Source organism: Homo sapiens, chromosome 2 (assembly GCF_000001405.40).
Source record: "Homo sapiens chromosome 2, GRCh38.p14 Primary Assembly".
In the NCBI taxonomy this organism is placed as follows: Eukaryota; Metazoa; Chordata; class Mammalia; order Primates; family Hominidae; genus Homo; species Homo sapiens.
In genome coordinates this window covers 131,205,790-131,232,727 of record NC_000002.12, presented here as the reverse complement: position 1 = coordinate 131,232,727, position 26,938 = coordinate 131,205,790, and the positions used below count along the sequence as shown (strand labels likewise).

At 40.8% G+C, this 26,938-nt stretch overlaps 1 protein-coding gene and 1 pseudogene across 5 annotated transcripts in view; both read right to left on the bottom strand.

Annotated features, from left to right (window-relative positions):
• Window positions 1-23,192, bottom strand: part of POTEE (POTE ankyrin domain family member E) — a 55,743-nt gene extending 32,551 nt beyond the window's left edge. For 2 of the 5 annotated variants that reach the window (XM_047444419.1, XM_047444420.1), the window contains exon 1: window positions 1,822-1,840. Coding sequence is in view for 3 of the 5 variants with exons in the window: in NM_001083538.3 (NP_001077007.1) it covers window positions 1,822-1,892; window positions 4,347-4,484; window positions 5,799-5,905; window positions 8,685-8,858; window positions 9,018-9,132; window positions 13,805-14,325 (1,126 nt within the window). In the remaining 2 variants the exon portion in view is untranslated. Of the gene's footprint in view, window positions 1-1,821; window positions 1,893-4,346; window positions 4,485-5,798; window positions 5,906-8,684; window positions 8,859-9,017; window positions 9,133-13,804; window positions 15,140-21,544; window positions 21,701-22,908 lie in introns of those variants that run through there. The other 3 variants (NM_001083538.3, XM_047444418.1, XM_047444421.1) reach the window with 3 other exon arrangements.
• On the bottom strand, window positions 3,015-3,121 carry RNU6-127P (RNA, U6 small nuclear 127, pseudogene; annotated as a pseudogene).
• Window positions 23,193-26,938: the final 3,746 nt, after the last annotated feature.

The window sequence follows — 26,938 nt, the reverse complement described above, 5'->3', positions numbered from 1 at the left end:
GATATCAATGAACAACCAAAACAACTCTGGTTCCTACTGTTTTAGCCACTGTTCATCTAGTATTTGCAGTCCAAAGCATTCTACCCGGTAAATTTCCCATGGCACACAGGATAAGACCTACTCATTTCTATAGTATTAAAAAGTCTATCATAAACTTGCCTTAGCTAAGTATTCACCTCATTCCCAACCTCTCGTATCACACACTTTTGGTACTAGCAAAAGTGAACTGCTCAGAAACCCTGCCATGTTCACTCAAGCATCTTGTCTTTTGCACTTGCTGCTCTTCCTCCCAAACAGGCAATCTCATTAGATGTTCCTTCTGGCAAACACACGACCTCGCTGCATGTTCCTTCTGCCAAACATTCTTCTTCTGCTTCTTTACCTAGAAAAATTCTTCTCTCTCTGCATGCTTACCTTAAATCATACCTACTTTTTCCCAAAACTTTCATTCCTCATCACATATGTCTGGCACATAATCAATATATAATAAATCATAATTATAAGCTTCCAGTGGGCATCTAGCACACAGTAAGCACTGAATAAAGTAGTAAAATAATGAAAATGACAATGATAACAAAAAGCTCCTGTCTGTATTTTTAATTGTTTGTGGTCTATAGCATTAGAAAAATGGTTACTATCTAAAAGACATTTGATAGTTATATGTTAAGTGGACAAGTGAAAACATAAATAGAAATGTTTTCTTTGTAAATTCTGTTGAAAAACCACAGAAATGAAATGGAGACAGCTCTATTATGAGCACCTTAAAGATCAAAACTACATCTATTCCATCTTTGTCTCCTGCAACTTATAAAACCTAACTTACAAAAGCTCTTTGATAAATAGATGGCTAAATTAAAGGTGTCCTCATACAGTTTGGACTATAAATGTATTAGGTGTCCACAACCAGGTAGCATACTAGCGTTTTTGTTAGTGTGAAACGTTTTTCTGCTTTTATTATAATCTGCTGAGCCTAGAGTTGGGCAATTTGTATATTTATTATGACAATCTTTTGGCAAATGGTAGCAGAGCATCTTGTTCTAACAAAATTACTGTTATGATGACAATTAACCAGCAGGTAGAAGAACACATCTTGTTCCAACAAAGTAAATATATCTCTTTCCAACTTCAAATGAGGAGGAATGAAGTCAGTAATAGTGAGACCTTATTGGGACAAGCATATGTAACATGACTTGTGCTTCAGTGTTCTTTTGTGATCAAAAATTCCTTACTTTTACTTTTTTATCTATGGTAGGACCACGCAAAGCAGGGGTCCTCAACTCCCAGGCCACAGACTCATACCAGTCCATGGACTATTATGAACCACACCACACAGGAGGAGGTGAGCAGCAGGCAAGCCAGGGAAGCTTCATCTGTATTTACAGCCACTCCTTATGGCTCATATTACCGCCTGTACTCTGCCTCCAGTCAGATCAGTGATAGCACTAGATACTCATTGGAGCATGAACCCTGTTGTGAACTGCCCATCTGAGGGATCTAGGTTGTGTGCTTCGTATGAGAATCTAATGCCTGATGATCTGTCACTGTCTCACTTTGCCCCCAGATGAGACCATCCAGTTGCAGAAAAATAAGTTCAGAGCTTCCACGGATTCTACATTATGGTAAGTTGTATAATTATTTCATTATATATTACAATGTGATAATAATATAAAGTAGCACAATAAATGTAACATGATTGAATAATCCTGAAACCATCCCCACCCTCCCCCAGCCCATGGAAAAATTGTCTTCCACAAAACCGGTCCCTGGTGTCAAAAAGGTTGGGGACAACTGACTAAAGTAATTCACTATCACAAGTCTTACCTGGATTGCTGTTTTCAGAAGAGATTTTTAGCATCTGTTTTTCTTTGTAGTCAGAAAGTAACTGGCAAATTCTATGTATAAAAATGTAATAAACCAAATTACTATTTTAATACTGATATAAAAAAAACTTACCAAATGTAGAATTATTAAGAGTATTTCAAACAATATCAGAATAACAGAACTTAATAGTATTATCCCATCCACTTATGAATACATTCTACAAACTTCTCTTTAAGCTTCTAATTAAAGAAGAAAAAAATGTAAGGTGAAATAGTCATAAATCGAGGGCACTGTGACCCAGTAAATTAGCTAGCATTAGCATGACATAATAGAAAGTGTCCCAACTCTAAATAAGTCCTAGCTCCATAATGAACAGCTATTTGTTCTTGGACAACTTGCTTCTCTTAGGCTCAATGTCTTCTTCAACAAAGTGAGGACTTTGCTGCCTTATTTCACTAGGTTGTTATAAAGGTTTAACGAGATAACATTTTTTAAATGCTCAGAGAAATAGTAAAGCAATGGAATAATCTGTTCCTAAACTTTATGACTAAAATTATCTTGGAATCCCAAATAAAACCCAATGCATATTTTGTTCATAGGTTCTAATATACAAATGTTGTAGTTTTCAGAAAATGTTATTAAGTCCTAATTTTGCTTCTTAGTTGTCCTACTCTTTATGGCTTATAATTCAGGGCATCTCAACTATGTCATAGTTTGTAACTAAATTTATTCATAAATATCTCATTAAAGTAGATAATGTGATTGTCCACTATTACGGAGTTGATCAATCACACCAAGGGCAGAAAAACCAATGGATGTTAAGACCTGACTTGGACCAACGATCCTTCTCTACAGACTCAAACTCTCAGCCAGTAGATGTCTGTTAGGATAATGCTTTATATTGATGTTCAATTCCAGCTGACATGGGAGACCAAAAGTCTACTTTTATTTTTTTTTAGTTTCCACAGAGAAGTAGCAAGCTGACATTCTGTAATTTTCGACATACATACTAACAATATATTTTGCACCGAACATGTTATTCAGGTCTAAGTCATCTCATAGACCATCTTACATGACTATTTTTGCAGCACAAATCACAATTTCAATATTTGGGTGGCACCCATTTTGCTTTGATTCACACTATTTCCTCAGAGCTAGTCAGCAAATAGTCAAATGACCTTCCAGTGACTGCACAAAATATGGAATGCTTCAAAGATCTGTGCTGCCTCCTTATGCAGAAGCCATGCTAACTTTCCCCGTATTGTTCCAATTTTAGGATATGTGCCGCCGAAGCAAGCACAAAGCCCTACTTTTACACATGATTAGTGATGCGTCATGGACAAGGCTTGGCTCTGTGAAGTCCAACTAACCTACTTGAGATTCTGAGAATTCTCTTCAATGGCTTCCTGTGAGCTAGAGTTTGAAAATATCTTAAAATCTTGAGCTAGAGATGGAAGTAGCTCCGACAATTTTCATTATCATGTAAATCAGATCACTCAAGGGGCCAACCACAGCTGGGAGCCACTGCTCAGGGCAAGGTTCATATGGGACTTTCTACTGGGTTCTATACAGGATATAAAGGTGCCTCACAGTACAGATCTGGTAGCAAAGAGGAAACAAACACTGACCTCTTTCTGCCACATTATTTGAACCCCTCTCACCCTTTAGAACAAGCCCACCTAACATCTGCCAGAGAAAAGACCAACAACAGCCTCAAAGGATCTCTTACCATGAAGGTCTCAGCTAATTCCTGGCTAAGATGTGGGTTCCACATTAGGTTCTGAATATGTGGGGAAGGGTCAATTTGGTCACTTTGTGTGCGGATAAAGTCAAGATGCCCAGCGGCCAGAGCAGGGGGCTGGTGCTCTGGGAACAATGGCTGAGCATATAAGCATAGGTATGGGAATTAAAAAACATCAAAGTCACTGTATGAATCGCCATGAAGACTTGAGGGATCTGAATCTACTGATTCATCTTAAGGCAGCAGGACCAGTTTGAGTGGCCACAAAGCAGCAACAAAATCAACGGAAACAACAGAATGATTGCAATGTCTTTTTTCCTCCTCCTTCTGACTTGATAAAAGGGACTGTCTTCCTTGGATTTAGTGAACTCCTTCGGTTCTTGAAAAATTCAAGGAGTATGTAGGACATAGTCCCCAGAAGACAGTACAAGACTTTCCGCTAAACTAGACATTTCAAGACCCAAATAACTAATCAGAAAAATTAAAGATGTGACACTATTTTTTATCCCTGCATAGGTGTTACACTTGGATCAAATGAACAATGCTGGGATCTCTAAGGATAAAGATCTTAAAAGTCCTGAGATAAAGAATCCCGCACCCATTGGTACTTCTAACTTGTCTTGCTTTTTGTCTGATTTCTGGCTGATGCAGGGGACTAACTCACTGCCACGCGAAAACTACCTGAACCAAACTATGACATCTCACCTGATATGTGAGATGCAACTGTTATAATTATTTTAAACCTCAATTCAGCATTAACTAGCCTTTTAATGTAAACACTTACACATGATGATGACTAGAAACAGCATACTCTCTGGCCGTCTGTCCAGATAGATCTTGAGAAGATACATCAATATTTTGCTCAAGTAGAAGGCTGACTATACTTGCTGATCCACAACATACAGCAAGTATGAGAGCAGTCCTAAAATGACAGAGATAGGAACTGTAATAAAGTTATTTTTAAAGCTAATTTGATATACTTTACCAATGTAACATCTTGCCTGTCTGTGCAGAATCAAACATTTACATGCACTAAAAGACATAAGCATCTTGAGTGCTCAAGTGTTCATCTTTGTAAAATGCCACCAAGGTTAAAAGGAAGGGACCAAAAAAAACCCTCTTATCTCAGTGGGGTATTGCATAGCAGAAGCTACTAATTTAAAGTCCTTTGATGGGCAAGAAACAATGTTAGGGCCACTTATCTGAGGTGGACAAAGATTTAAGTGAAGATTTTGTCACAGCTTCCCTAGACTGACATGCTGTAATAGAAAATCAGCTAGGGGGTAAGAGAAATAAGAGCTCTCTGCATGCTCAAAGCAGTAATAATAATGGTAAGAATAGTAGTCATAGGAGTTTCAGTTAATGGTGCCAATAACCATGTGCTAGGCACTGAATTAAATGCCACATGTATCTTTCTTACTTATGCACAGCCAACTTTGAAGGATATATTCTCCTACTTTTCATATATGACAACATATTTGGTGGTAAATAACGTCCCCAAGGTCACACACCTAGCAAGTAAGAAAGTTACTAATTAAACCCAGTCTTGTGTGAATCCAAAGCCTAGCTCTTTTCTCTTTATCACCCACGTACGGCTTGTCTTCATTAAAGGAAAAGTGTATCCACTTAAAACTATCTTCACTCCCTCTCTCCATACCAATTAAAAATAAAAACATCAAAACACACTGGAAAAACAAAAGGAAAAAAGCTGTTGAACCCACAGTATGTGGGAACAGCAATTAATTGTCATGTAGGGATAAGCTAACACTAATATTCTTCAAAGAAAGCAACTTAAAGCAAAGTCATTAAAAAGACAAAAGGATTTTCAACCCCTATTTATGTTTAATACAGCAGATTTAATGGAAAAGCATGTAAGACACAGGTTAAAAACTATTAGAAAGGGTTAAGAAGTTCAATACTGAGTCATAAAGTAAACTAAAAGTTAAAGTTCAAACTTCATAAAATTAATATGAAATCCTTTAAGCTAACATAAGATCATGTAACCAAAAATGTCACATAACAAATAACATCAGTCAATATAATAAGAGAAGATGAATCCTACTAAAACTGTTCTTTATGTTGCCCAGCCCAAGTAATTGTTTTTCTACCTAACTGATTTGTGTTGATACTGATCACTACATCCCAGTAAGTATACATTAATCTTATTAATTTAATATTTATGACTTGAGTGACTGCTGTCCATCTAGAACACACAGATTAAAAGAAAGAACTATACCTTCCATATCTATCCAGTGCATTTAAATTCGCTTTTTTCTTGATTAAAAATTTCACGACTTGCTGTTTTTGCTCATGTACACCAAGTAACAGTGGTGTGAGGCCATGCTGTAAAACAATATAAAGCAAAAACCTATGTAATTCAAAAAAGTACATATTCCTCAACCAAAGTGGAAACTTTATGTAAGATCTTATGGACTTACACGCATAGAAAGTAAATAAAATGTACTCGCTTCCTTCTCACTCTTCTGTGCTTTCCCACACGCTGCTCCTTCCCTTGGAAACACCCCTTCTCTGCCTCACCACAGTAACTCTAATCATCTCAAAAACTCACTTTAAACATTTACTGCTTCCAAGGCTCTTTGCTTCTAAACCAGCATTTGGCATGGTGTTATTGGATGATAATATTTTTCCCATCTAAACAAAAAGCTTCTTGAGGGCAGGGGCTGTATCTTTTGTCTCTATATCCTCAACCCTAAGACAAATTGTGTATAAAGCAAGAATCTGCATGTAAAATATTTCTTTAGTTTCATGTTTTACCAAAAGTTCAACCTCCAACATGCAACAAAAATTGCTATTAAAACTCATACTGCCCATTTGAAAAAATTTTCCAACATTTATTTATTTAAAATCTATTTGTATTTAATTTTCCCAGATTGTTAACTAAACCATCAGTTCATAGGACTACTGAAACTAAATTAACAGAATTCCTATCTGTATTCTTAATAACTCCATGGTTTTTAGTGTTTAAAACTGCCATGCTGATTATGCCAAAGCTCTACATACTTAAGAGACACACTGGATAGTCCATAATACAGCGTCAATTGACAAAAAGTGGTTTAGAATTTGCTACAATTCTAATTGAGAAAACTCTGCTCTTAACGACTTACTGACCTAAGCACTTGAATGACTGAACAAAGAGACACAAAATCCTGAGAGGGCCATCCTCTACTTATTGAAAGACTACTCACAGCAAATTTCTAAAGACCTTCTGAACAGCAGTGAATAACTGATGGTAGGAAGGAAAAGGTCTTATTCTGTAAGCTGATACATACTACCAATAATATTCATTTTAATGTCTCAGTCACAGATAAAAGTCAGACTAGGTCAGGAATGGTGGCTCACACCTGTAATCCTAGCATTTGGGGAGGCTGAGGTGGGTGAATCGCTTGAGCCCAGGAGTTCAAGACCAGCCTGAGAAACATGGCAAAAACCTCATCTCTACTGAAAAAAAAAAAAAAAAACTGAGGTTGGAGGACCATCTGAGCTTGGAGAGGTCGAGGCTGCAGTGAGCTGTGATCACACCACTGCATTCCAGCCTGGGAAACAGAGTGAGACCCCATCTCAAAAAAAAAAAAAAAAAGTCAGATTAATGTTATTGGAAAGATTTAAAGAAATCAGCACATATCCAACCCCAACTCTTCTAGAGATACCTTAAGTTTCTGAGACATAAGAATTTACATATTACATTTAAGTATTGAGTGGTTCTTAAGCAGGAGTGTATCCAGATTTTGAGAAAATTGTTGTTGTTGTCGTTGTTGTTGTTGTTGTTAGAGACAGGGTCTCATTATGTTGACCAGGCTAGACTCGAACTCCTGAGCTCAAGCAATCCTCCCACCTCAGCCTCCCTAGCAGCTGGGACTACAGCCATGTACCACCATGCCTGGCTTCAAGGAAACATTTTCAAATATACATATCCAGGCTTTATTAGACTTACTGTATCAAAATATTCAGAAAAAGCCTAGACTTGTTGATTATTTAAACATTTTCCTCAGGTTACTGGGATGCACAATTCTAGCTGAAAGCTAGTGCAACAGACAATTACTTCAGTCTCATTTCTCACCCACATGACCAATTCCCTTTCTCATTTGAAGATTTGGCCAAAAAGAGTAAGGAGTAGGAGAGAGGCCCATTTGCTGAAAACACCACATGATTTTCCCCGGTAAGAGAAGAACAGGGTCTAGTCAACTCAAAATCCAACTTGATCTTGTTACTTGTTTATCTTCCCCCTTCCCATCCAGACACTCTAGATTTGAAAGCAGAGCTGAGACTCTAATTGGCCATTTCTACCAGAATAGGATACTAAGTCAGTTAATTACTTGATATTCCCTCTGCTCAAGGGTTTCCTCTTACATTACCACCTATTCACTGCCAATCTGGTTCCTCAGAGGCCTCCTAAAATTGATCTCTAGGTAGTTTACAACCCACTAACTCCCTCTCCCAAACTGAAAACTGTCATTCTCTAAAATTGAAGAGAACCTTGTCTCACCATGCAAAGGAAACAAATCAGTCAACAACAACAACACACACACACACAACCTCTTCATGGTCTTTTCCCTCCATTATCTAATTTCCAAATTGGCCTTGATATTTCTGATTGCTCTCTTTTTTGCTTTCCACTTCTGGCTCATGAGCAATCAGAAATATCTTAAGCCTTGCCAGTGAGAGGCGCATCACCTCGTATCTATTACTGTTTTTTAGGAACTTGCCAAAGGAGCAGGATCTCTATTCACTGAAACATGTTTAACTTTTCTTGGAGTTTTCATGTAAAACCTATTTCAGGGCAAATTTTGCCATTTTACATTCAATAGGGAAAAAACATCCTAGGAGGGAAAAATTGAAAAATAGTAAGTATTATCTTTTACAAATTCAGTGTTTTCAAAAAAAGTATTTACCACAAGTGCATTAAAAAAAAAAAACTGTACCCTCTAATGCTTCTTTGAAAGTAACAATATTTAAAATGAAGTCTTAGATAATTAGGTCATTTCAAAATATTTTCATTCAGGTTATGCTTGAGCTTCCAAATATGGAAGACTGGCCCTTACACAGGTCAATGTTAAAATGAATGCATTTCAGTATTTTGAAGATAAAATTGGTAGATCTATACCTTGTTTTTTGATTCGATATCAGCACCATATAAGAGCAGTGCTTTGGCCATTAATTTATCTTCATTATAGATAGCGTAGTGCAGAGTGGTATTTCCATACTCATCTGGAATATTTGGATCAGTGCCATGTTCCAGCAACATTAACGCACATTCATCTTCCTGGCATTGTACGGCCTGTCAGTATTAGACCAAAAACAAATTACAAATCTTAGGAATTCAAAATAACATTCCACAGCTTTCACCAACTAGTTATATTTAAAGGAGAAAACTCATTTTTATGCTATGTATTGAAATCAAACCCACCTCATGCTGATATAGTTGGCTACTGCATACCTTTATCAGAGCTGTCCTCTTTTTGTTGTCAAGGACATTAAGTTGACATCGTCTGTCCAGCAGGAGTTTTACTACTTCTGAATTCCCATTGGCAGAGGCCAGATGTAGAGCAGTCCTATGAGAGTGACAAGACTTTTTAGGAAATTGTAGTGCACTAGCTACAGCCATAGCAATGATTCATGTAACTGCAAACACTGAATAGCCTGCTATTACTCTGCCTTCAAAACAAACATTTAACTTTCCCATGAAAAAAGCACACTATTTATTATCTCTCATTGCTCGCTGTATTAATGAAAGGGCAGCCTATATAAATATAAAGAGCATAGCCCTTGGATGACATTCAACGTGGGCTGGAATCCTACTTGAAGCTCTGTCACTTCCTGGCTGTTGCTTAGCCTTTTGGGGTCTCAGTTTCCTCATCAATAAAATAGGAATGAAAATAGTAGCTTTCTCACAGGAAACCACTCTAATGCTTAAATGAGACTCTGCACCAAAGATATAGAATAGTTCCTAACACAAATAACAGCTCAATAATTGTTAGATATTTTAATTTTTACTAATACCACTAAAGACAACATTTGAACTGAGATGATACAATTATACCTACACTTTCAGGTGTGTTTTAAATATTACAGCTAACATTGTATTTTAGTGATTCTGAGATGATCATTGTCTCCATGTTGTCTCCACTGAAATACCACTTACAATTCATGATTTACTATAATTTGCGGCATTTAAATAATTCTCTTATTGAGGCATAAAATAATGGGGCATCACACAATCCCTGGTGTCTTACATGAAGTAGAATATGTTATAACAGGTCCGGGGCGGTTCCAGTCAGATGACCAGCATTTAGATAAATTTTAGTTCTTAAAAGAACTATGGAATAAGAAAGCTGAGGTGAAAACAAAAACAAATTTCTAAAATAAACCAATTCTTACTTTGGTTTTCAATAAACTTTAAGCCAAAGAAAACCTGGAATTCAAATGAATAGCATGGGCTCATTTTTTTCAATACTTAGATTTATACAATATATCTACATCAGATATTTCCAATCATTCATATTAGGATTTAAGACTGTTATAAATTTTCTCCTTTTAAAACGGATTTATGAAACGATTTGTGGAGCTTTTTTCAACTGTTACATTCAGGGGTACACGTGCCAGATGTGCAGGTTTGTTACACAGGTAAACACGTGCACCAAGGGGGTTGGTTGTACAGATTATTTCATTACTCAGGTGTTAAGCCCAGTACCCATTCATTCTATTTCCTGCTTCCTTCCCTCCTCCCACCCTTCACCCTGTAATAGGCCCCAGTGTGTGCTGCTTCCCTCTAGGTATCTGTGTGTTCTCACCATTTAGCTCCCACCTATAAGTAAGAACATGCAGTATTTGGTTTTCTCTTCCTTTGTTAGTTTGCTAAGGATAATGGCTTTCAACACCATCCATGTCCCTGCAAAGGACATGCTCTCGTTCCTTCTTTTATGGCTGCATAGTATTCCATGCTGTTTATGTACCACATTTTAGTTCTTAAAACAACTAAAACAGTCTTTCTCCAAGACTTATAAATTTTCAAAAGGGCAGTTAAGGGTTGTCTTTTACTATTTTCTACCTTCAGAAATGCTTCTGTTTGAAAGGAGGGAGGAAAAGCTTCAATTGAGATTAAGTCCTAATGCACCAATTTTAAATCTCTCAGCTTGCTCAAGCCCAGCAGATAAACATGAAGTTTTCAAAGGTGGAAGGATCCTGAGAGATAGTAGAATATGCCTGCCACATAATAGGTGTCTGGCTTATGTCTGATGACTAAATGGATTGAAAGAATGGATGAACACAGCTTGGGAGTTCAGTATTTTCAAAGAAAACTCCTGTCGAGTAATGCAATACATTTGCAATAGTAATAATCACTTACATTTGCTATTTTAATTTTCATAAACATACAACTCAACTAAAATGATTAATTCATACTTTTTACATGTTAATCTATATCTAATGAAAAGATAATTATGTAATAAAATGTATATACAATAAAATCTACAGGAACAGGTAAACACAATCCCTCTACTTCTGAAGAGGGTAAAAGTTCACAGAAGATAGCCAACCACAGATAGAAAAATAAATAATAGAATGTGACAAATTATTTGCATCTATGCAAGAAGCATATTCCTTCTCTTCCCAAGGATTATTGCATTACTAATGAACTTTAACTAAAACTTCAGATGTTCATTGCAGAAATCACAGATAAGAGAAAGGGAAAAACTTCACTTACAAATCCCCAGAAACAAGTTTGATTATATTTTCTACATGTTTTCAGCTAACACGAGCAGATTCTGTTCGTGTATATGTGTAACCAACTGATTTTTTTCTCACTTGTTATAGCAAAGTACATCTTTGCATGTCGACATATCTCTGTATCTACTGACAACCTCAATAGTTACATATTAGTCCATCCTATGGATGCACTGAAATTTGTCCATGAAATCTTTATATGGGTTCTTCTAAATACACTGCTATTTTAATCAATACTAAGAAAAACAGACATCTATTTGGTAAAGATATTTCAGTATAATGGAATTGATGAGTAAAAAGCATAACATTTTTAAAATGTGGTTCTTACCACTAAAGTGTTTGTTTGAAAAGCTGTAGCAATTTAAACTTTAAATGACTACGTAAGTACCACTGTTCTTCATCCTCACAAACTTTGTGGACAGAAAACAGTATTTCATTCCTTTTTTTTTTTCTTTTTTTTTTTTTGAGATGGAGTCTCACTCTATCACCCAGGCTGGAATGTAGTGGCGCGATCTCGGCTCACTGCAACCTCCACCTCCCTGGTTCAAGCAATTCTCTTGCTTCAGCCTCCTGAGTAGCTGGGATTACAGGTGTGTGCCACCATGCCCAACTAATTTTTTGTATTTTTAGTAGAGATGGGATTTCACCACACTGGCCAGGCTGGTCTCAAACTCCTGACTTCATGATCCACCTGCCTCAGCCTCCTAAAGTGCTGGGGTAACGGGCGTAAGCCACTGTACCCGGCCTTTCATTCCTCTTCTAACTTAAATAGAAAACAGTATTTCATTCCTCTTCTAACTTACATTCCTTCTTCTACCAGGAACGCTATCTTTTCCTATGTGCATAGGTCACTGGTAGATATGCAAAAAAAGTACTTTGCCCAATTTTAAAATGAGCTTATTTTATTATGTCTGCAAATATAGGCCAGGCACAGTGGCTCACGCCTGTAACCCCAGCACTTGGGGAAGCCAAGGTGGGTGGATCACGAGGACAGGAGTTCAAGACCTGCCTGGCCAAGATGGTGAAACCCCATCTCTACTAAAAATACAAAGCAATTAGCCAGGCGTGGTGGCAGGCGCCTGTAATCCCAGCTACTCAGTAGGCTGAAGCAGAGAATTGCTTGAACCTAGGAGGCAGAGGTTGCAGTGAGCCGAGATCGCACTACTGCACTCCAGCCGGGGCAGCAGAGTCAGACTCCATCCAAAAAAAAGTATATATATAAATATATATCTGCATATATAAATAGGCATTTGTATGTTTCTCTTCTGGTATGTTTCTCTTTTTGTATATTTAAAATTTTTAATCTATACTCTTATTTTTGTGACATAAAAATCTAGCTAGTTTTCTCCAAACATGAATTATGAACAATCCATCTTTTTCAAATAATAAAAAACACCACCATTATCAAGCGCTAAATTCTTAACATATATTTGGGTATTTCTAAATTTCCTATTCTGTTGTATTCATTGATGTCTTTTCAGCTGTTAGTAAACAATTTGTGGAAATAAATAACATGCACATTTTGATATCTGGAAAAGCAGACTTTTTCCATTCTGTTACAAAAAATTAATTTATCACAATAATAAAAGACAGCATGTGTAATTTAAAAACGCTAAAACTTTGCTATTTTTATTTGGCTTAGGTAAAAGTGATAAATAGAAAAAGCTCCCATCTTTTTTTTTTTTTTTTGAAAGGGAGTCTCGCTCTGTCGCCCAGGCTGGAGTGCGGTGGCACTATCTCTGCTCACTGCAAGCTCCACCTCCCGGGTTCACGCCATTCTCCTGCCTCAGCCTCCTGAGTAGCTGGGACTACAGGCGTCTACGACCGCACCCAGCTAATTTTTTTTATATTTTTTAGTAGAGACGGGGTTTCACCGTGTTAGCCAGGATGGTCTCGATCTCCTGACCTCGTGATCCGCCCGCCTCCCAAAGTGCTGGGATTACAGGCGTGAGCCACCGCGCCCAGCCAAAAAGCTCACATCTTAAGAAAATTCAATCTTCCTGTTCAAGCACAGGAACCATCTTCCCATTTCAGTTTCCTTCTAAGGTTCCTCAGTAAAGAACATATTTACATACTGTACATTGATATAAAATCCATACTGGATTTTATTTGAAGAATATTTAGCCCTGAAGTTGATGTGTTATGGGGCTTTGTTCTTAGTTCTCAATATACACTTTTCTATAATGTATAGAACATTGTTTTAAAATCTGTAGATTAAAAATAATCTGCTGCATTGACTTAATTAATTTTGCAAGTTAAATCACTTTAAAACAGTCTATTAGTGTTCTATGAGGGAAATTATGATTGGAAATCAGCTAAAGTTTTGTTTTTGTGTTGCTGTTCATAAAGGGCCCTGTACCCTGACCTCTCTGAGGTTTCCACATCCAGGGTGGTGTGAGGCCTGCGGAGGCGAGAAAGCCAGGTCCCCCTCCTCCCCCGCCAGGAGGGTATGTCCCCATCATCCCCCCACGTCCCACCTCCTCCCAGCCCAGGCCTGGTTACCTCTTTTGCTTGTCCTTCTTGTTCACGTCAGTGTCCCTGAGCATGACGATGAGATCCTTTCTGGGGACTTTACCCCACCAGGCAGCTCTGTGGAGCTTGTCCAGATCTTCTCCACGGACGTGGTACCTGGGCTCCATGAAGGCGCTGTCATCGTAGTCTCCCCAAGCGCCCACCTTGCTCTTGCCGCTCCCCCTGCAGCAGGGGAAGCAGTGGCAGCACCACTTCCCCATCTTGTTCCTGAGTGTCTTCATAGCAGAGTCGTCGTGGTCTCCAGAAGCGCCCACGTTGCTCTTGCCACTCCCCCTGCAGCAGGGGAAGCAGTGGTGGCACCACTTGCCCATCTTGCTCCTGAGTGTCTTCATAGCAGAGTCGTCGTGGTCTCCAGAAGTGCCCACGTTGCTCTTGCCGCTCTCCCTGTAGCAGGGGAAGCAACGGCAGCACCACTTGCCCATCTTGCTCCTGAGACCAAATGGCTTCTTCACAGAAGAGGCAGCCGGCATGGAATCAACCTCAACCACCATCTGCTTTTAACAGCCAGGAGAAGCCAGTAGTAGCCAACAGATCGCGTCTACCAACCAGTTTCACCAACTAGCAGGTAACTCCGGGTTTCCAATCTGTTTGAAGAGAAATGTCAATCCCAGCCAAAACCTGCCAACCCCAGCAGGGGATTCCAGCCCAGCCCACCCCACCCAGGGAAAACCCACACCCACCCGAGGAAAGCCCACGCCCCCCCTGGGCGACCCCACGCCCACCCCAGAAAGGGCCAACCCCAGAAAGGGCCAACCCCCGCCCCCAAGAAAACACCCAGCCCACCCAAGGGAATGCCAAACCCAGCAGAGAAAAGGTCAAGCCCAGCAAAGGAACACGAGAGAGAAAACGTCAATCCAAGCAGGAAACGTCAATCCAAGCTACCAACGCCAAGCCAAGCCAAGAACGCAAAGCCAAGCCAAGCCGCTACAGGCCAGCCAAGCCGTTAAAGCGCGTGCAGCATGCGCGTGCAAGCCATTACAGGCCAGCCAAGCCGTTACGCGCGTGCGGCGTGCGCGTGCAAGCCGTTACAGGCCGGCCAAACCGTTATGCGCGTGCGGCGTGCGCGTGCAAGCCGTTACAAGCCAGCAAGCTGCTGCCGGGCGTGCGCGTGCGCGTGCGGCGTGCGCGTGCGGCGTGCGGCGTGCGGCGTGCTTATCTCAGGTGGCGTCAGGGCACGTGGCACAGACACTGGCCGATGCATGCAACGCGCCTGCTTAAGTCTTGGCGCCACGAATGTCACTGACAGCCTTGAGTTCCGGCAAACTTCGTGGGAGTCAGCTGAGCTTTCAAGCCACTGAGAAGCCTCTGGTGAAAAAAAAAAAAGCCTCTTAAAGGAGGACTGGGGCTAAGCGTCTGGAACTTGAGGATGCTGACAGCCTCCTTTGAAAAAAGCCCCCAGGACACTCCTGGCGGTGCTGTTGTGCATGGCAGCAGCTGCAGCTGGGAGCTCGGGCTGACGGAGCTGGCTGCAAATGGCCTCAAAATCGCGGAGCACAAGACGCCCACCGAGCCCAGGGCCTGCCTGAGGTGCCTTCAACACCTGCTCCTCTTTGCTCCGCACCCAGAACACGAGGCCATCAGCAAGGGGGCATTTGGGGCCACAGGATTGCAGCCAGCTCCTGCCCCGGTGCAGTGTATACAGTGTATACTGCACAGGTGTTGGGTGCACCAAAATCTCCTGAATCACCTCTAAAGAACTTACTCATATAATCAAACACCACCTTTTCCCCAAAACCCTAGGAAATAAAATGAAGAACTTTTTGTTTATGCATACCACATATTTTTTAACTTTTTTCACAGGTTCATTGAGATACAATTTATATATTATTTAATTCACTCATTTAAAGTATAAAATTCAGTTTTTTAAGTGTATTAACTAGTTAAACAATCACCACGATTTTAGAACATTTTTATGCTCCTTAAAAGAAACTTTGCACCCATTAGCAATCTTTCCCTATTTTCCCCATTCTTCCTTTAAACCTCTCCCAGCCCTAGGCAATCATCCATCTACTTCCTAAGAATTTGCCTATTCTGGAAGGATTTGCCTATTCTGGACATTTCATGTAAGTGGAATCATAATAATATAGTTACGTGTGACTTACTACTTTCATTTATCATGTTTTCAATGTTCATCCTTTTTGGAGCATGTATTAATATGTTTTTCTTTTTCATTGCCAAGTAATATTTTATTTTATGGACAGACCACATTTTATTAATCCACTCCAAAATTCATGGACATTTCTGTTGTTTCCTACTTTTTGTTGCTATAAATACCTTTATGTGTAAGGCATTTGTTTTAATTTATTTTTGGTGTATACATAGGAGTGAATTTACTGAGTCATGTGGTAATTCTGTATTTAACCTTTGAAGAACGGCTTCATTTTTCTGCATGTGGCTTGCCAATTATACCAGCAGCATATGTTGAATAGGGTGTCCTTTCCCATTTTCTTGTTTGCTTTGTCAAAGATTAGGTAGTCTGATGCCTCCAGGTTTGTTCTTTTTGCTAAAGATTGCTTTGGTTTTTCAGCATCTTTTGTGGTTCCATTCAGATTTTAGGACTAATTTTTCTATTTCTGTGAAGAATGACATTGGAATTTGACAGCGGTTGCATTTAATCTGTAGAATGCTTTGAGTAGCATTGAAATTTTGACAATATTAATTTTTTCAGTTGACAAATATAGGACTTTTTCTATTTGTCACTTTCAATTTCTTTCATCAATGTGCTATAATTTTCAGTATACAAATCGTTCACATCCTTCATTAAAATTACTCCTTGCTCTTTGATTTACTTATATATTTGTTTTGTTGCTATTATAAATGGAATTACCTTATTTTTCAGATAACAGTTTGTCATTGGTGTATGGAAACCAATGTTAATTTTGTAACTCTCAACTTTATTGAATATAGTGTTTATCAGCTGTAATGGGTTTTTTGTGGAGTCTAAAACACAGACAATCTCACCCCTTCCCTTCCTATTTAGATGCCTTTCCTTTCTTTGCCTTGTATAATTACTCTGGCAAGTCAGTTACATATAACGTTCTCAGCATTTGTAATTTGACATCAAATCCATCTGTTGTAATACACTGATTGTTACTTTTCAACTCGAAAACATGGACATTTATCACTACTCTCCCTTTCTCTTGGTCTAGTTGTTATTTAAAAAAAAACCTATCAATGCAAACCAGGATATTTTTCTACAAAACAATTTCAAACACACTAAAAGGTTTTAATCTAACAATTTTTAAACTTTCTTTGTCAATGACTTTGAACTGTGGTCTCTCGGAACAAATCCAACACCTTTAGTAGAAAAATTATGTTAATTCCTACATTATCATTGGGTCTAGCCAAGAGTTGACCAAAGGTGATATTAACAGATATGCTTATTTATTACCTTGTTCTCAAAGTTCTAGCGTAAGTCTTGAAAAATCTAGTAAAAATTTGTAAAGACTATAATTGCACAAACTCCCTCTCTCATGAGTCACACAGTTAATCCAGAATACTATTTCTAAGTTATTGTAAAGCCAACAAGTAAATATGATGTAGTGTATAAAAATAATCCTAATTGCATTGTATATTCTGTAAGTGACATATGCAATTGATACTATTTACTAAATATCTCATAATTATATTTATTTACATAGAAAAAAGGAATCAAAAACATATCTATTATCTAACGTTTAAATGATTAAAAATACTTGAGATAGCATTGCTACATAAATGCTATGTAAATGCTGAAGAAAGTAAAAATGTCATTCCCTACATTTGCTAAATATATTGTGACACATTATAAGCATTTTTAAAATATATCACTAATGGTTGGGTCAAGTCAGCAAAAATGATTCTAAGTATTTAATTGTGGAAAAATTTAGTACAGGGGATAGTATTCATGTGATGGAAGGATTTTAAATGGAACCCAGAGATTAGCAGCAGCAGTAAGTTTTAATTGCATACCAGGTGCAGAGTCTAGGATACAAGACAGAACTGCAGATAAAATCTGACTCCTTCCAGCATAGCTAGGAGACATGGCTAACTCCACCTGTCCGGAGACCTTACCTAGAAATCTAACGGCTCCAAACCAGGTAAACAAAACTATTTTCCAAAGTCAAAGCATCAATTTATGACATTAAAGCACTTCTAAAACTTAACCTCTGACTTAAATTAGACCAAATGGATAAATTTTGAAGATATTTTTATTTTACCACTGACTTTAACACCATCTTTATTTCCCAAAGATTACTGAAGTCACATGAAATAAAAGGCATTAGAGCTTCTATTTTTCTTACAAAATATTTAAGAGCTTTCATTTTCTTTTAAGCCGAGCCATTATATATACATCACATACACAACACTTCTAGACAAGAAAAGATCTAGCAGTTGTTCAGTTTTTCTTTCCCACTTTATGAACCATAACACAACTTCCACAGACTATCTACGACATGATTAAATTTATCTGACCTGTCCTGTATTTCCCTCTTTTGTAATTAGTCATTCTACTTTAGGACAACAATTTGCCATATAAGATCCTCTCTCATATAACATTTCTTTCCTTCATAACATTTCTTATAATAAATACATCTTCATATCCACAATTTTCTTTAGATCTCTCTCCCCTACTAATTTCTGATGCCCATCCAAACCAAAAAGGTCAGACAACGCAAGGCAAAACAGAGGAGAGCCTTAGATTTTTGAGAGGGACCTGTCTGCTTAAAGTTCTTGGGGTTCCATGAGGAAAACAGAGGTTTCTCCTAAAATGGGGTTTGTGGAACCTTCTGTTTTTCCTTAAGGAGTCCCAGGTTGTCAGAAATTACCTTAGATCCTCTCATGTGGGCATCAAGAGTGGCAACAAGAGAGACTGGGGTAATAATTCAGACAACTGAGCAGAAAAAGAAAAACTTACTACTGTCCCCACTGTAATGATGGATAAACTGAGGCACCATGCAGTTCAAAAATTCATGTTCACATAATTAGGATCCACAGCTCACTCTCTTAAATAATTTTGCCAACTCTATGCCCAGTCACTGATGCACCTGTATGGTAGCTCATGGCCCCCTTGGAACTTAGAACCTGGGTTTCATTCCTGCTCTACGGCTATATAATTCAACAATTTTCCTTTGAATTTGTTGGACTCTAACCCTGTATATCTCAAATTTTATTAGTATTACTGAATCTTAAAGGGAGCTGTGACGTCTTTAGTCTTTAGAAATATTAAACCTATAAACAAGGACTATATGAGGTTAAACAGTATTCAAATTTCTATATGCTTTAAAACATGGACACAATGTATTGAGAAACACACCTACAAAACTGCACCCCATCAACTCTGGACAAAAATTTAGATATTATCTCTTCAATATAACCTATCTAGTGGTATTTATACATATTCTTCCATGTATCAATGGTATATTACATGCTCATAACCTTAAAAATAACAAGTGTTCAAATTATAGGCCTTACACATTTCTACGGGCTTGAAAAATGATACAATATAGATTGTCTTTAAAGCAGTCAAGAAAATGCATAAACTTCTAGAGGAATCAGTAAAATAAAGATAAAAAGTTCACACCTAAAGTAGTAATACTAGGAATAAAAGAGGGCTCGACACTGCAGGTTCTTAGATACAAAAGTTAATAAAGCCTTGTTTTTGGTTGTGAATCTTTGCCTTAAAATACACACAGCCGACCGAGGTGGGTGGATCACCTGAGGTCAGGTGTTCTAGGCCAGCCTGGCCAACATGGTGAAACCCCATCTCTACTAAAAATACAAAAATTAGCCGGGCGTGGTGGCAGGCACCTATAATCCCAGCTACTCAGGGGGCCAAGGCAGGAGAACTGCTTTCACCCAGGAGGCAGGGGTTGCAGTGAGCCAAGATCGGGCCATCGTACTACAGCCTGGGGGACAAGAGCGAGACTTCATCTCAAAAAAAAAAAAATTACACACAATTCTCCCGACTTCCTTTTTCTCTTGCAAAGAGGTGGTGATGAACCAGGTTTGCTCAGGCAGATGGCAATACTCTTGAAAATGGTGGCAGAGAGCCAGGCGTGGTGGCTCACACCTCCAATCCCAGCACTTTGGGAAGCTGAGACAGGTGGATCACTTGAAGTCGGGAGTTCAAGACCAGCCTGACCAACATAGAGAAAACCCATCTCTATTAAAAACACAAAGTTAGCTGGGCATGGTGGCACATGCCTGCAATCCCAGTTACTCGGGAGGCTGAGGCAGGAGACTTGCTTGAACCCAGGAAGCGGAGGTTGCAGTGAGCCGAGATCGCCCCATTGCACTCCAGCCTGGGCAACAAGAGCAAAACTCCATCTCAAAAAAAAAAAGAAAGAAAACAAAGGAAATGGTGGCAGAGAAAATGAAGGCAATACAGTTCACTTAATAATCTCATAAATTAGAACTTACCCCGTGACTCCTGCATAGCTCCAAATATGTGAGAGAGATGAAATGGCTGTTTGCCACCAATATTTTTATGTGATGCTTCATTTTTTGATTCTCTGAATAACTACTTATAACGCATTAGCCCATTTATGCCAGAGGCTGCAATTTTTTGAATTTTTGCACGAGTGAAAAATCAAACCTTCTAATGACCTTGAGCAGTAGGATGTAATTAACTCCCTCATGCTTACCATTCCAATAATGGAACACTAGGCATAAGTGGTTTAACACAATCATGAAAGCATAGCTATTCAAGTAACTAATTATACAACTGATTTTTTTCCTCATCCCTAAAACATAGTAAAGGACCAGTTATTTTAAAAATACAACACAGTGACAATTTTGGCTTGTTGTTTGTTAAGGCCATTGCTTGGCATAAAGAAAACAAAAAGAGGAGGAGAAACAAGAATAGAAACATGAAATAGAAGCAGCAGCAAAAGAAAATGAAGAGGAACAAGAAGATGAGAAGAATACACAGACTAGAAAAAGCAAAAAGAACAGGTGCAGGAATTAGAAGGCCTATTATGACACCTTTTATCCCCTCCCCAATTCACAAAATTTGAAAAAGTCCAAGACCATCACAACAAAAAAGAAGGAAAAAATGACCGGGAGTGGTGGCTCACGCCTATAATCCTAGCACTTTGGGAGGCCAAGGTGGGCGGATCATGAGGTCAGGTGATCTAGACCATCCTGGCCAACACTGTGAAACCCCATCTCTACTAAAAATACAAAAATAAAATTGGCTGGGCGTGGTGGCAGGCGCCTGTAGTCCCAGCTACTAGGGAGGCTGAGGCAGGAGGATGGGGTGAACCCAGGAAGCAGAGCTTGCAGTGAGCCGAGATCGCACCACTGCACTCCAGCCTGGGCAAAAGAGCGAGACTCTGTCTCAAAAAAAAAAAAAAAAAAAAAAAAAAAAGCCACACACACACACACACACAGTCACCCCCTAAATTTTGTTAAGAATGAGACAATGCTGCCACTCATGCCTGGCTCAGAAGGAGGCCACCCTCCAGAGATTGCAAGAGAAGGGGGAGGACTCCTTTCCCTAAGTGCACCTCCACCACTGCCACCGAGGCCCATGGTACAGCACCAGCAGGTTCCTCCCCACCCCAGGTCGGACTGGGCCCTGCAGTGCTCCTACTCCCCCTTCCCAGTCCCCAGACTTTCTGCCACTACCACCACTAGCACCAATGCCAATACAGTTGCTGTCGCCGTCAATGCAGCAGCCCACCCTACAAGGTTCCTACCACCTTGCCCCCGCGGGCACCCTCCTACCACTCCTGTCGAGCTGCAGTCTCCGTGGCTGCCATCAGTCACACGAGGCGAGCTGCAGAGTCACGCCACATGCAGGCTCCAGCGTACCACAGGTGATTCCTTCTCCTCCTCCTCCAGCCTGGCTTGGAGCAGCTAGACCGGCAAAGCCAGAAAAGCCTAGAATGGGATGCAGGGAGTGGTAACGTTAGAGCCTCACCTTGTCATGCTGGCCACTGGGTGGCAGGGACCAGCTTCAGCTAAGGCACTCACACCCACCCACCGAAGTCCAGCCTCTCTTTCTGGCAAAAGGTGGCCAGGAACTGGGGCGGGTGTGAGTGCCTATGCTGAAACCACCCCCATCCAGGTGCAACTGGCCAGAAATTGCTGGGCCCACCAGGGCTGCACTCCTTGGGGAGCAGGAGTAGGAGAAACTCAGACCCAGCCAGCCCTCCCCACTCAACTGCTGGTTCCCGTTCCTGACACCTCCACCCACAGTGCCCTGTTCCCACAGTCCCCCGCGATGCCCACTAATCCCCACCCGGTAGTCCCAGGTGGTCTCCCCAACACAGAGCATGGGGTGTGGGCGGGAGGTGCAGGCCGGAGAACCGCAGTGGGTGTGGGGGCCCTGCCCTGCTCAAGATTGCACGAGCAGGAACTCTGGAGTCTGGAAAAGAGAAGAGTTACCCGAAGGAGCAAGGAGACCATGGCTGTTGCTGTCCCCACCACCTCTGCAGCCGACCAACACCACTGGCAGTATAGCCCCCATAGCAACCCTAACCTGACCCCTGCCGCCGGCAGTGTAGCCCCCGGACAGCACACCCAACACACCCTGTGCCAGTTGCAGGCAGTGTAACCCCAATACCCCCCCCCAACCACCCCTTCCACAGGCAGTGTAGCACCCGATAGTGCCCACAACCTGACCCAGCCACAGGTGTTGCTGCACAAGACAGTGCCCCAAAATCGCCGCCCCCACCCCACCACAGGTAGCGCAGCTCCTGATAGCGCACCCTGAGTAAGGGCAGTGCAGCACCCGACAACACTCCTAAACCACCCCCCGCTGCCAGCATTGTAGCTCCAAATAACCACCCAAACCACTCCCTGCCCCGGGCAGTGCAGCAGAAAATAGTGCCCCTAACCCCTCCCCCGCCACCGGCAGTACACGTTAGTGCACACAACCTGCCTCCCCCCCACCACCCCCGCCACCACGGGCAGTGTAGCCCCGGACAGCCAGCCAAAACCGCCCCCCTCCACCGCCAGCAATGCAACCTCGGAGAGTGCCCCCAACCAGCCCCCTGACACAGGCAGTGCAGCCTCGGGCAGTGAGCCCCAATAGGACACCCAACCCCTGCCCCCACAGGCGGGCAGTACATCCCCGGATAACTCACCTACACCAGGACATTTCTACCACTCTGGCCGAGCTGCAGTGTCCCACGTCACCACCAAACACAGCAAGGCGAGCCCCAGGGGCTCAGGCTCCAGCCTCCAGCATGCGTCGGTGCTGCTCCCTTCTACTCGTCTTCCTGCCTGGCAGGAGAAGCTCCCGCTACTAGTTGCCCTCCTACCGCTCTGTGGACACCACCAACTGCAGTGAGCCAGTGTCCGAGGCTCCAGCCAGAAACAGGTAGCAGCCATGCCGGTTACCAAACGCCCACACTTAAGAGCCTGAAATGACCTGACGCCACCTCCGCATGCTTTACGTACTGAGGTTACGCACATGTGGTTCCCAGACTACATGTTCTGATTGGATGAGAGAAAAACCTCTAGGCCTACTCTGATTGGACTTTATTTTCATGCTGTGATTGGTTGTCTTAAGACTGGCTCTCATCCAATCAGAACATGATAATAAAGTCCAATCCAAGTAACCCTGGAGGGTTTTTCTCATCCAATCAGAACATGCAGTCAGGAATCCTCCTGTATATAACCGCGGTATACGCCTGCTGCTGAAGGGAAGTCAGGCTCTTCCACGTTCCCGTATTTTCCTGTGGAGCTGCTCAGTGCCCGGCTTAGAGGACCAGGAATGGGTAATCACCAGCCGTACGCTGGAGGCTGGAGCCGCTACACCGTGGCTCGCCTCGCTGCGACTGGTGGTAACCGCGACCGAGACGGCAGTGCGGCGGAAGCGGTAAGAGGAGGAAAAGAGTTTTGGGATAGATGGAGGGGGTAAAGAGGGTGGTTAGTGCCAAAGGGAAGAGAGGATAGTGAGCAGGAGAGCGCGTTGCAAAAAGGCGGTGGGGAAAAGATAGTGGGAAAAAAAGTTTTTGGGTAGATGGAGGGAGAAAAACGGGGTGGGGAGCGGCAGGGAGGGAAGGTTTTGCAGAAAGATGGTGGGTAAAATGTTTATGGGTAGATGGAGGAGGAAAAGAGGGTGGCAAGGGAGGAGGAAAGAGAGGGTGGTGGGGGGGAGAAACAGCGTTGAGCAGTAGAGAGAGAAGGTTTTGTGAAAAGACAGTGGGGAGAAAAGGTTTTGGGTAGATAGAGGGGGAAAAGAGGGTAACAGGTGGGGGAAGGGAAAAGGGTAGCCAGCGGGAGGAAGACAAGGTTTTGCAAAAAGATAGTGGGCAGGAAAGAAAGACGGTGGAGAAAGAAAAGACAGTGGGTAAAAAGTGTTTGGGTAGATGGTGGGGGGAAAGAGGGTAACGAGGAGGAGGAAAGAGGGTGACGAGAGGGAGCAGGGAAAGAGAGTTGGGGAAAAAATGGGAAAATAGTTTGGGGTAGATGGAAGGCAAAAAAGAGAGTGGCAAGCAGGATAGGGCAAAGAAGAGGACGAGTGGGAAGGGGGGAAGACTGTGAAAAGACAGTAGGGAATATTCTGGGGGGTGGATGGAGGGGGAAAAGGGGAGGTGAGCAGGAGTGGGGAGAAGGCTTTGCGAAAAGACTATGGGGAAATGTTTTTGGGTAGAGAAGGGAAAGAGGGTGGCAAGGAGGAGCGGGGGAAAAGACGATGAGGAAAACAGTTTTCGGGTAGATGAAGGGCGAAAAAGTGGTGAGCAGCAGGAGTGAGGAGAAGGGTTTGGGAAAAGACGGGAGAAAATGTTTTTGCTTAGATGAAGGAGCAAAAGAGGGTGATGAGAGTGGGATGGGGGAAAAGAAGGTGGCCAGGGAGAAAGGGAAAAGACGGTGGGAAAAAACAGTGGGGAAAGTGGGTAAGTGGATGGGGAAAAGGGTGGTGAGTGAGAGAGCAGAGAAGGCTTTGCGAAATGACGGTAGGGAAAAATGGTGGGGAAAAAGTTTTGGGGTAGATGGAGGAAGAAAACGGGTGGCGAGGGGGAGGAGGCCAAAGGCGGTCGGGAAAAGAAGGTGGGAAAATAATGGTGGGAGACAAAGATTTGGGGTAGATTTTTTTTTAATCAAATTATTTGTATTTTTGCTTTTGAGTAGTTATTTATATATTTTGTGTATTAGCCCCTTGGCTGATGCATAGTTTGCAAATACTTTCTTCCATTCTCTGGGTTGTTTCTTCGTTCTACTGATTTCTTCCTGTGCTTTGCAGAAGCTTTTAAGTTTTATGTAATTACATCTTTGCTTTTGTTGCTTGTGCTTTTGACAAGTTTAATGTAATTACATCTTTGCTTTTGTTGCTTGTGCTTTTGATGTCTATTTGAAAATTCCTTGTCCTAACCAGTTTCATGAAGCATTTATCCTATGTTTTCTTCTCTAGTAGTTTTATAGTTTCAGGTCCTACATTTAAATCTTTATTTTGAGCAGATTTTTGTATATGGTAAGATAACGGCCTAGATGTATTCCTGCACATGTGGGTGTTGAGTTATCCTAGCAGTTTATTGAAGAGATTGTCCTTCCCGAATGTGTGTTCTTGGTGCCTTTGTTAAAAATGAGTACGCCATAAATGTGTGAATTTATTTCTGATTTCTCTATTCTGTTTCACTTGTCTATGTCTGTCATTCCTTCGTTTCTGTTTCTCCCCCGCCCCTTTTTTTGATAGTATTATGCTGTTTTGGTATTACCATGCTTACTACAGATTTGTAGTATGTTTTGAAGTCAGGTGTGATGCCTCCAGCTTTTCTTTTTATTCCAGATTCTTTTGTCTATCTGAGGTATTTTGCGTTTCCATGTGAATTTTAGGATTTTTTTTTCCTATTTCTATGAAGAATGTCTTTTGTAATTTAACATGGATTGCATTGACTCTCTAGATCACATTGGGTGATATAGACATTTTAACAATATTCTTCTAGTGCATGGACATGGGATATCTTTCCATTTACTTGTGTCTGCTTTAATAGCTTTCATCTGTGTTTTAGAGTTTCCATTGTGGGATCTTTTGTCTTTTTGGTTAAGTTTATCCCTAGATATAATTTTTTTGGTAATGAAATAGCTTTCTTGATTTCCTTCTTAGGTATTTCACTATTGGTGCATGGGTGTGCTGATATTGTATCTTGCAACTTGACTAAATTATTTCCTGTAGGTGATTTTGTGGAATCTTTAGGGTTCTCTCTTTCTCTATGTATATATATATGATCATGTCACCTGCAAACAGAGACAGTTTGACTTCCTTTTTTCCAATTTGGATGCCTTTTATTGCATTCTCTTGTCTAATTGCGCTACCTAGGACTTCCAGTACTATGATGAATAAAAGTGGTGTAAAAGTAGCCACACTCGTTCCAGGCCTTAGAGGAAGAGTTTTAACCTTTCCCCATTGATTATGATGTTAGCTGTGGGTTTATCATATATGGCCTTTATTGCGCTATGTTCCTTCTGTACTCATGTTGTTCAGTTTTTGCCATGAAGGAATGTTGATTTTTATTTTTTTCAGCATCTACTGAAATGATTATATGGTTTTTGTTCCTGATTCGCTGAATGTGATGTCGTACATTTATTTATTTGTGTTTTATTGAATCATCCTCATATTCCTGGGATGAATCCCACTTGATCATGGCAGATCATCTTTTTATTGTGTTGTCAAGTGCAATTTTCAAGTATTTTGCTGAGGATTTTTTTGCATCTGTGTTTATCAGGGATATTTAAAATGCCTGTGGCTTTCTTTTTGTGTTGTTTCCTGGTCTGGTTTTTGTACCAGGATCATGCTGTCCTCATAGAACAAGTTTCGAAGACTTCCTTTCTCTTCACTTTTTGGGGAATATTTTGAGTAAAATTGGTATTAGCTCTTTTAAAAATGTTTGGTAGAATTCAGCAGTAAAACCATGATTCTTGTGTTTTTGTTTGACGGAAGACTTTTTATTACTGCTTTAATTATATTACTCATTATTGATCTGTTCCGGTTTTTTGTTTATCATTCTATCTTGGGAATTTGTTATGTGTCCAGAAATTTATCACTTCTCCTAGATTTTCCAACTTGTTTTTATATAGGTGTTTTTAGTAATCTCTTACAATCCTTCATATTTCTGTGTTATCACTTGCAATGTCTCATTTTTCATCTATGATTTTTTCTTTTTCTTTTCC